Below are 11,957 nucleotides of genomic sequence, written 5' to 3' on the forward strand. Positions count from 1 at the left end.
CCTCTAAGTGGTAAGCAGGAAAAAATAAAATAATTATTTAAAAATAAATATGTGTAGTAAAATTAGAGGATCAACAAACAAAAATAACAAATCTTTCAGACAAAAAAAAAAGATTTAGAATAAACCACAATCAAACTTATTTCAGATTTCTCATCAACAATAGAATACAGGAAACAATGAACATTTTCAAAGGAGAAAAAACAGATTCTGTAGCTAAGCAAGGACGAGGCTGAAGCACAACTAATTCAAACATGAAACTTCTCAGAGTATATCATCTAAAAGTTTAATGAAAAAATTCCTAGAGTATACACTTCAGTGAGAAGAAAATTTAATTCAAGAGAGAGAATAAGGTTGCAGGGAAAAAAATGAATGAATAAATCTGTAAAGCTAAATGTTAAGTATAGATATGTATAAATGGGAAAATATAACAAATCTAGAAATAAGTTGCCAGACAAAATCAGTGGGGGAAGTAAAGACTGGTGGTAAGAAAGTGACAGACTCTCTTTTTGACCAATTTGACAGAAGATAGCTAAGGGAATCAGAAGTATGATTAGATGTTTGTTTCTCTCAGATATATAGATGCTGATTAATTTTACACATATTTGGAAAACGAGTTTAAATATGAGCAATAAATATTGAATGCTAAGAGACTTCTGATTCCTGAAGGCTATCGGGGACAGGAAAAGGTCTCCCCTACTACAGCACAAATAGTCTTGAATTACCACCAGGAACATACTTTTAAAAGCATTACTTGCCTCATAGAAGAAAATCACCAAAAAGAGGAAAACAAACAAACAAACATAAACTAAAACAAGATCTGTTTAATAAATGCCATTAATTTTTTTACCTGGGGCAAAAGTCAACAGGGGTCCTAAGTTCTGGAAACTAAGACTTTAGTCCACACCAAGGTGTGAGCATATGAGAGTGGAAATTTTGAAGAGGCTACAGTGGTTCTAGATAAGCAGTAAATTTGGCTCCTGGCAAAAGCAAACATAAAAGAAGTCATCTCATCTAAACTCAAAACTAAAAATATGGGCTGGGCGTGGTGGCTCATGCCTATAATCCCAGCATTTTGGGAGGCCGAGGCAGGCAGATCACTTGAGGTCAAGATTTCAAGACCAGCCAGGCCAATATGGTGAAACTCAAAATTTTTGTAAAATACAAATACAAAAAAAAATTTTGTAAAAATACAAAAATTAGCTAGATGTGGTGGTGGGAACCTGTAGTCCCAGCTGCACTGGAGGTTGAGACAGAATTGCTGAAGCATGGGAGGTGGAGGTTGCAGTGAGCTGAGATGGCACCACTGCACTCCAGCCTGAGTGACACAGCAAGACTCTGTCTCAAAAAAAAAAAAAAAAAACTAAACTAAAAATATTTATTTTCAACTCAAAACTTACTTAGTCAGCCAAAAATGAAAAAAAAATAAAAAATAAAAATAAAAAATCTCCGCAGCCACTGCAATGACATTTGACAGGAGGGAAAGTCTGAAAAAGTGGAAGCTGGCCTAGAAAGAGATCGTGACTAAGGATCACATAGTTTCTACTTGAATGGGTGACAGAAAGACTGATCAGGAAAACATTGCTGGAACTCTTGTTTACAGAAAAGATATTTTTTTCTGCAGAGGCCCAGCCAAGCTAGGGGCCCTAAAGAGTAAGTTTCTCTCACTCCATGCCCTGTCCTCATTCCTGCTCTCCACATCTACCTTCCATCCATATACTCTTGAAGTAGCCCTAAGAGAAGCAGTGTAGCAACGGCACTGAAAGGATACCAGGCACATTAACCATTCATTTGTCAAAATATGTAAGAAAATACCACAGTGTAGATGACCCCTGTTTTAATTTATTGTCTATGACTTATAACCACTTTGACTTCTGAAACAAAGTAGCAAGACCAGGCCAGAAAGAAGGAAGAAACTAACTCAAATAGAGATGCATCACAAATGCATCTAAAAAAGGATGGCAGCCTACTGACTATAAGGCCTAATAGCCAGCCTATGTAGTTATTTTTCACAGTCTAAAATGGCAAAACTTGAGGAAGTTTCTTTTTTTTGTTTTTTGTTTTCTTTTTTGAGACGGAGTCCCACTCTGTTGCCCAGGCTGAAGTGCAATGGCACAATCTCGGCTCACTGCAACCTCCACCTCCTGCGTTCAAGTGATTCTCCTGCCTCAGCCTCCAGAGTAGCTGGGACTACAGACAAGCACCACCATGGCCAGGTAATTTTTGTATTTTTAGGAGAGACGGGGTTTCACCATGTTGGTCAGGCTGGTTTCAAACTCCTGACCTCAGGTGATCCGCCCACCTCGGCCTCCCAAAGTGCTGGGATTACAGGTGTAAGCCACTGCACCTGGCAATTTGAGGAAGTTTCTACAATTTGAATGACCCAAGTTCAGATAAGAACATAATAGAATAGAATAATACCTACCTAGACTAGGAAAAAAGAAAATACTTAGGATCTAACGTTCATCTATGTACTGATTTTCTTAGACAAGAAATTTAACCTGTTTTTGCTTTTTCTTTTTATCAAAGAAAAAAATGAAAATCTTAATGAAGAAAACACTAGGAAATCAAATTGGTAGAAAAGTGAAAAAAAATCTCTAATACAAATACACAGAAAACTACCCCAGTATTAAAAATCTCATGAACACACACATACATACATATGCTGCTTGTTTAATAATGATGGTGAAAAAGATTGCAGAGGAAAGGAAGTATATTACAAACTGAAACAATACTACAGCTTATCTAATGAAATAAATTATAAATAGCAAAGAAGATTAGTCATTGCTGAAATCTGTACTGTTACTTTAAACACTGAGGTAAAGGACAAAGAGATTAAAGTGATAAGAATGAGATAATAGGTACAAAGAGACTGATGATCCAACAGAAGCTTCCTAAAATGGAGAATGCATCAACTGAACCTGAAAAATGTATTCAGAGAAATGATACAGCAAAATTTCCTGTAATGAAAACTGGCATCAGTAGATTAAAATATGCCAATTATAGCAAAATGAGTTAAAAGATAAAATCAACTTTGAGTTACATGCTGACTGTTAAAAAGGTCAAATATTTTTAAAGTATACTTCATCTAGATAGAAAAAGAAAGTCACCTGAAAAGAGAAAATCGGGCTGGACTAAGACATTCACAAAATCAGAAACTGTTCAGTAAAATGTTAAAAGTATTGAGGCAATATCATTACCAAGAAAATTATATTCAACCTAATTTTCACTCAAATATAAAAAAAGAAAGATGTTTTCAAATATGAAAAAACTCAAAGACACCTTCATGAGCCTTTTTTTTTAAAATCAAAAACTACTTATTTAAACTTTGCTAACCAAAAGAGAGTCAAAACATATAATTGAGAAGTGGAGAAGCCATTTAGAAGGGCTGGTGGTATTTACTGAAGTCATATAAATATGACATTAAGATTTGAAACCAGGAGAATTATAGTTGCAGACTACAGTAAGTGTAGTTGCAGAAATGTAAGTGTTACAAGGTAACCAGATAAAAATATTTCCTAAATATTTAGGGAGGAACAAATTGGATTGAGGTTTATAGTGCCACAACTTTATCTTTCACAGATGGTAGTTAATTAATAATAAATTAATTATTATAAAATAGACACAGAATGGAATTGATATAAAATAGAAATATTAAGGTTGGTACAAAAGTAATTGTGGTTTAATGGCAAAAACCACAATTACTTTTGCACCAATTTAATAATAATAGTTACTATAAGATAGAAATTGAATTTCAAATAAACAAATGACTTTAACATTTCCAATACCCACTGAAACTCTGACTATGTTGTCTGTGCTCACTTTCTGTATTTCGCTGTTGAACCTGATACAGTCAGTTCTTCACTGCTTCTACTCCATGGAAACTGGTCTTTTTAATATGACCAATGAATGCTATGTTGTCACAGCCAATGGTCGTTTCTCAGCCCACATCTGCACATTTCCTTTATCTGTCCCATTTGTCATTTTGATTATTCCATTCTCCTGGCAAGACCTACTTTCCTTGTTTAGGACTTCATAAAATGTATCCCAATTTTCCTTTGATACCATGGCTTGCACCCTTTTAATATTTCAATTAATTGTTCTCAGGCTAGCAGCTGTAAATATTGTAGTGCTCTTACATTTATGTTCTGGATTTCTCTGTCTGTAATGACTTCTTTGGTGATCACATGTAATTTCTTCAATACATGAAATGAATTGATAGCACTTATATGCTGTCAATTCCTAAACTTTACATCTAGCCTCTCCCTGAACTCTAGCTCAAATATCTAACAACTTCTTTGACATCTAAATTTTAATGTCTGATGAACACCCCAAATTTATATCTAAAGTGGAACTCTTGATACCCAGCCCCATCCCCACCATTTAATGACCTGCTAAGCATCCCTTCTTCCCAATATTGGTAAATAGTAACATTATTTTCCTTCTTGGCTCCTTTCTGTCGCATCTCATCTGCAATTACTCAGCTAATCCTATTGGCTTCACCTTCAAAATTTGTCCATTTTCACTGTAGTTTGGTACAAATGTATCATTTCAATAGAGTACATACTGGCCTCCCTGCTTTTGTGTTTGTTCCTACAATCTACTCTTGGCAGAGCATCTAGAATAAGACTATTAAAAATTAATTCAGATTATTCACTCTTTTGTTAAAAACTCACTAAGATATCCCTGCCTGTCTCATAAAAAGGGATAAATAATAACATTAATAATAACAATAATGGTTTTCAGTGCTTTCTACAATCTGATCTCTATTACATGTTTAGATTATATGCAATAATAATCTTTGATCACCTAGGCTGAAAAGTTTATTGAAGGCAAGATTTTGAAGGACCAGTAAGACATCATAATAAAATATACGATAATGAGTAATACAAGAAAGTCTTGGTGGATTGTTTCTAAACAGGTCAAAAATTTTAGAGAATGAACTATAAACTTGAATTTCAAAAATTCCCAGCACAAAATCTAACCAGGATATGAGAAATTTATCTTACTACAGTAAAGTTATCAATTATAGCCATAATATTTAATCTATAATTACCAAACTATACCAATAGCTGAATTCAAAGCCTTGACTAGACTCATGTTTGGAAAAAGGGGGGCCTGTTCATTTAACGGAAGACATAATAGAGGAATCAAGACCTTCCTTGGAAAGATAAAAATATCTCCTATTTTTTGAGGCTTTTGATATCTTCCTTGAAGTTCTTGTGATAATGTCACTAAGGCACTTTATTGGCAAAGGAAAGCAAATTTTTTCATTACTTATTTCAAAACACCCTCAAGTCTTGTAAGGTTAGAGTCTAGGATGTCTCAAAGGAACAAAATAAATTTAAACCCAGTCTGGGCATGGTGGCTCATGCCTGTAATCCCAATGCTTTGAGAGTTCAAGTCGGGAGGATCACTTGAGCCCAGGAGTTTGAGACCAGCCTGGGCAATACAGGAAGACCCCATTTCCACAAAAAAATAAAAATAAATTAGCCAGGCATGGTAGTGCATGACTGTGGTCCCAAGCTACTCAGGAGGCTGAGTAGGGAGAATCACTTGAGCCTGGGAAGTAGAGGCTGCAGTGAGCCATGACTGTGCCATTGCACTTCAGCCTGGGAGACAGAGCAAGGCTCTGTCTCATAAATAAATAAATAACAGATTTAAACCCACAAAAGTACAAACTCAAATCTCAAAATTTTGAGAATTTATACTGGGAACAACCTGAGGAATATGTGGGGATAGATTCTAAGATGACAGAGCAGAAGGCTAAGTTCAACAATTTGGACACACTTATCAGGGATTCAGAATTCAAAAAGCTGTGTGATATAATATAATTTTGGAGTTTGTTAGTTGGATAATAATATACTCAAGCAGTTGCCTGAACTAAAAGAAGTGGAATTCTGCAAATTTCTTGGTATGTCAGGTATACTTTCTGAGGATGTCCAAACCAATATATTCCATCTCACATGTCCTCTTATAATATGATTTTGACACTCTTCCACCAAGAGGTGTAGGGCTATGGTCTCTCTCCTTGAAATTCAGACGGGCCTGTGACTATGTCAGAAGTAACAGCTCACAAACTATTCCTCACAGGATATTCACCCTTGGAATCAAGACACCATACTGTGAGTATGCCAAGCAGCCACATGGAAAGGCCAATAGAGCTGTTCCAAGCACAGCCTCAGCTAGGTCCCAGGAGATGACCAGCATCAAGCACCAGACAAGTGAGTAAGCAAAATGTCAGATAATTCCAGATCACTGTAGCTGACACTGAGTATAGCAGAGCCCTGTACATTTTTGCCTCTTCATGAACAAAATATAAATTGTCATTGTTTTAAGATACTTAGTTTTGGTATGGCTTATTTCTCAGCAGTGGATTATCAGAACCTTTGGTATAACGTGCCATTCGTTGGTCTATTTGAGCTTAGATCTATTTCTCACCTATTTCCTGCTCTGTACTGCATTGCAGTGGGTATGAGTCCTACAAGCTTTATTTCCAGGCTCTGCAAGTTGGCTTGCCATTTAGCTCAGTTAACAAGAGGAACTAGAGGCAATTTGGAAGGTGGGAGGGACAAGCCAGAATATTTAGTTTACACATTCTCTGTTTTTCACACAGAGTACTTCAATGACTGTCATCTTGTCCACATCCCCAGCTTTCACAAGACAGGTCTGCTGTGATTTCAGCTTCTTCTAGTTGACTCTATGATGCTTGGCTTCTAGCAAATCTGCTTCCTTCCTTTGTCCATCCATGCTGATGGATGGTAACAGCAATAGCAAGAAGCTGGATTTTTCTCATCATTCGTTACAGTATGTGGATTCTCAGATATTCCACCACCTATTTAACAAATTCCATGTATTACATTATTTATGTTTTAAATACTGTAATAAGCCTATCTTTTGTTTCCTTGGTTGGACCCTACCTGAGTACAAATTTAGCTAAAGGAACCCAGATACATAGAGGACAAGGACATTTGGAGTTCATCCATCATGTGTGAACTTCTTATCCATCTCCTAACCAAGGTGGGAGGGAGCATCATTGATCAACTGAATTTTGGCTAGATTGCTGCTCATACATGACTCAGCTGGCCCTTAGTATTTTGATTATTTCTCCAATTCTTTAGTGTGTATTTGGAATAAATTCATTCAACATCTCTGAATATCTGGAGCTAGGTTTGTATGAGAAGGCAAGTAGAAGTCTTGGCTCTCCCACCACTGCTCAAAATAGTAAATCTAAAAGAACATTTCATCCTAGTGGAAAATTCCAGGGTGATGCTGTCACATTCCCCTTTAGATTGACTGTTTGGCTCATACTAAAGAGAGCTGCTAATGTAAATGTGGCCTTTTAACTTGAGTAAATTATATAACTGCTGGACCCTGTTATGCATCTACTGATCTAGCAAATTATTTGTATTCCAATAAAGAGAATACTAGAAACAGTTGGCTTTTACCAAGTAGTGACAGCAATAAGCCATCTCCTTCTTATCTATAATTTACATAAATGCCTCTGCTCTTTACCATGTAGTCATCCAAAATCCAAAGAGTTCTTAATCACATTAGCATAGCCACTGAACATCAAAATTACACACTATTTCGATGATGTAATGCTAATATGTTCTCAAAAGTAAGACACAGAAGATATTCAAATGTCTTAGTATGGCACGTGGGTGTCAGTTATGGGACATAAATCTCATGAAATCGAAACTGTGGCCTAAAGAGTTAAACCAATGACTACATTCTTGGATTTATAGAATAGCATATAAGAAAAGAAGCAAGGTCCTAAAAAGCTAATATTGAAACTGTATCTCAAAGAGTAAGAACCTGGTAACTAACAAACATTCTTGAGTTTACAGGATAGCACATAAGAAAAGAAACAACTTGCTGCAATGCCGAAATGCCCTCTGCTTGTGAGATGAAAAACAACTGGCTGAAATTGGTAGGAACTAAGATGGCTGACTGGAGTTTGTGCAGAAGGAGCTTACTGACGTCACAGTCTGAATTTCCACCACGTGTTTCACGCTAACTCCCCCTGAATTTGCACATGCAACCCATGAGTTACCATGAACTGCACATGTCCAAGGACTTTCCAGACCTCCCCTTTCCTTCTACCAATCACCTACTAATCTCAGAATCCATCCCCTGAACCATTTCTAATAAAAAGACTGCATTGAAGCCAGCATGGGGAGACAGATTTGAGCTTGATTTACATCTCCTTGAGAGTCGACTTTGAATATAAAGCTTCTTCTTCTTTTTTTTTTTTCAAAAACCTGGTGTCATTATATTGGCTTCTAGCACATCAGGCAGTAAGCCCCTTTTGCTCCATAATAAAATGATAGGTTTCTGTCATTTCAGTGGATTTTCTAGGAGATCCAGGGCTGTGGGCTATATTACCTATTAATAGATCCACATTGCAAGAAATGTATGCCTCATACACAAATCATCAGATTCTTTCCTGAATGATTCTTTCAGTAATCACACAGACAAAATAGCCCAATTTATGTCAATTTGCCAATTTTTTTTCAGACACACTGGTGTTAATAAGTTTTTGAACAAATAGCCATGGTAACAGAGTTAATCATTTGTACTTTTACTTTAACATAGAATCCTCAACAAGGTTTAATTAGGAACCTCTACTACTAAGCATCCAGTGCTTTCACATTAGCAACCACCTCTGTGGTTCAAATGTAGTACCATACCCAGAGCAACCAGCAAGCCAACTGGTGACACAAAGATTATACAGGTGCCTCTCATCTTCAGAGGCAACAATTTCTTATCAACAGAATAAGTTTTTACTCTGAATTTAGATTCTCCTCCTCTGTTTACTCTTCTTGTCAACTGAATTATCTATGGGATTCTTACTATCTTACGTTCTAGTATAGGGCTCCATAGAACATTACTCTGACCAAAATACTCCTTGTTTAAAAAAAAATAAGGCAATTGGCTGAAGATTTTTTGGTCTTTTGCCATGTCTACCACCATCCAGAAGTAACTAACATTATGGAATGGAGAAATATTGCTTTACAGGAAATAACACCTTGTGATATTAGAGCACTGTCCTACAATATACACTACACATTAGGAGTGCCAATAAATACATGGTGCTGCTTCTCTTAAATCAAAATTCATGGATCAGTATAACCAAGTATGGAAGTAGGAGTTACATCTCTCCTATTTAACTGTAGTGATTTTACACGGATTGTTGCCTTATGTTCTCATGATTCTGAGTCATGTTGGTTTACAGGTATTACTTTATACAGGAGCAATATTTCCACCATTGAACAAAGAGTTTTCAAGGAATTAAAGGTTAGAAATACCACAGGCTATTGTCAGAACTGAAAGGCATTGTAAAAATAAGCAGAAGTGTTGGTAGGTGGTTCAGATAACGTGACTTTATGATTAATACTGATTGTTGAAGTGAAATTATTTGTCATTACACTTCAGCGAAAGGAAGAAATTTTTCCAAAAACTGGCAAATGAGGCAAATAGGCTCCTCCTATTCTGCCTTGTCCTGCAGTAAAGTTAAAGGAGGACTAGAGCAGTACATACAGGCACAACTGCAGTCTTTACATTCTTCAAGAATAATTTGTTTTGGTTTTGTCATATTTTATCATTGTTATTATTGAATTATACCTTATATGTAGTGAAATTATAGATTGTCTGTACACAGTTCAAAGAGTTTTGACAAATGTATACACTTGTGTGACTAGCACCCAAATTAAGATATATCATATTTCCTTCACTCCAGAGAATTTCTTCATAGACTTTTCTGCCAAACTTTCCCACCCTAACTGAGACCACTGGTCATATTTCTATCACCTTTGGTTTGTTTTTCCTGCTCTTGAACTTCGTATACTTGAAAATCATAGGGTATACATACACTCTTTTCTGTCTGACTTCTTTTACTCAACTTTTTTTGAGATTTACTCATGTTGTTACATGGATCAATAATTTATTAATCCTTTTCATTTTGTTGAGTAGTATTCAATTGTATGTGTAGATTGCAAATTGTACATCCATTCTCCTGTTAAGATCATTTGGGTTATTTCTAGTTTTAGGTAACTGTGAATAAAGCTACCATAAACATTAGAATACAGCTCTTTTTGGAGGCCGATGCCTTCATTTCTCCTGAGGGATTACTGAAGAGTGGCAATGCTGTACCACAGGAAGGATGAAAGTTTAGTTTTTAGGAAACTGCCAAAAAGAGAATCCCAGCTGTTCCACGCTTGCCCCCATTTCCTGTTGTCATTTGTTTTGATCTTAGCAGTTCTTTTTGGTGTAAAGTAGTACTTCATCATAGTTTTAACTTAAATTTCCCAGATGCCTAATAATATTGAGCCCCATTTCACAGGCTTAAGTCCATTCACGTATAAATTTTGTGAAGTATTTTTTTCAAGCATTCTGCTCATTTTTAAAGTAGTTGTTTGCCTCTTTAACGTAGAGTTATTTAGATTCAATACCCCTTTAATCAGAACTCAGCAATCATTTTTCGTAGAAATGGACAAGCAGTTTATAAAATGTACATGAAAATTCAACAGACACAGAATAGCTGAAACAGTCTTGAAAAAGAGGAACAAACTTGGAGGATTTATATTATCTGATCTCAAGAATTACTATAAAACCAAGACTGTGGTAATAGCGTAGGTATAAACAAATAGATCAGTGACAAAAAAAGAATGACTAGAAAAAGATCCACGCATACGCGGTCAATTAATTTTTGACAAGATTCAAAGCAATGTGATGGGAAAGTCTTTTCAGCAGATGGTGCTGAAATAGTCAGATAACTATATGGGAAATAAATGAACCTCAAGTACTACCTCATAGTATAACAAAAAGTAATTTGAAGATCATCATAGACCTAAATGAAAAAATAGAAAATATTTTTTTAGCAGAATATGTAAAGATTATTTTTGCAATCTTGCAGTATGCAAAGATATCTCAGATATTACAAAAAAATATAAAAATGATAAATACAACTTCATCAAAATTAAAATTGTGTGCTCATCAAAATAAACCATTAAGAAAATAAATGAGCAAACTGCAGATTAAGAGAAAATATCCCCAAGGCATAGGTCTGACAAATAACTTGTATGCAAAACATATTTAAAGACTCCTAAAAGCTTAAGAAAAAAGTAAAAGTGTTGGGCCATTTTCACAGGTAAAGATTTCTGTGTTGATTTACAACTAGGTATAGATTGAATTTAGATAATTGTAACAGATTTCATCCATAGCCTTACTTTACCTTTGCAATATGACTTTATAATTCCTCCCATTGAGAGCCTCTGGCAGGTACAACTTTCTTTGACCAGTGGAATATGGCATAATCAATGATATGCCATTTCCAAGCTGACATACAAGGCAAGCTTGCATGCTTCTTCATTCTGCCTGGTTGTCATGCAAACAAGCCCAGGTGCCCTGCTTGGGATTGAAAGATCACATGGAGAAAAGACAGTCTTACCCAGCTGAGTGCATCCTGTACCAGCCTAGCTTTGGCCAACAAGCACCTGACTGCAAATGCCTGCATGAGCTTAGGCAAGAACAAAAAATATCACCCATCAGAGTGAGCACAACTTGTCTACTCATAGATTTGTAAGCTAAATATATCATTGTTGTTTTAAAATATCTCTTTTTATAAAGCTTTTTTTGTTAAAAGTATATTCATAGTTTCTGTTTTTCTTTTTAAAATATTTGCTAGAATTCACCAGTGAAGCCATCTGGCTTTGAGCTTTTCTTTGTGGGAGCAGTTACTGTTTTGTTGTGTTTTTCCCTCCTGTATTCCCAGCAGCTAAAGTTGAGTTTAGCAATTAAAATGCTCTTGGGTCAGTTAGGGCCAAGCAGGAGAGGGATGACACACTCAATGCAGGATAATTCAAGGAATGCTTAGTGAAGGACAAACATACCAGGTGGGATCAGGAGAGGGAAATCACAAGGGGTATTTTTGCACCCTGGGGCTAACAACACTGAGG

General features: G+C 35.9%; 1 annotated feature.

The window, feature by feature from the left end:
- Positions 11,061-11,676: an enhancer, noted in NCBI's record as "OCT4-NANOG hESC enhancer chr7:119829996-119830611 (GRCh37/hg19 assembly coordinates)". NCBI's record gives its function as "activates a minimal SCP1, AML or CMV promoter by ChIP-STARR-seq in naive H9 embryonic stem cells {active_cell/tissue: H9 hESC(naive)}" and the evidence as "EXISTENCE:reporter gene assay evidence [ECO:0000049][PMID:30033119]".

Source organism: Homo sapiens, chromosome 7 (genome assembly GCF_000001405.40).
Source record: "Homo sapiens chromosome 7, GRCh38.p14 Primary Assembly".
NCBI classification, from domain to species: domain Eukaryota; kingdom Metazoa; phylum Chordata; class Mammalia; order Primates; family Hominidae; genus Homo; species Homo sapiens.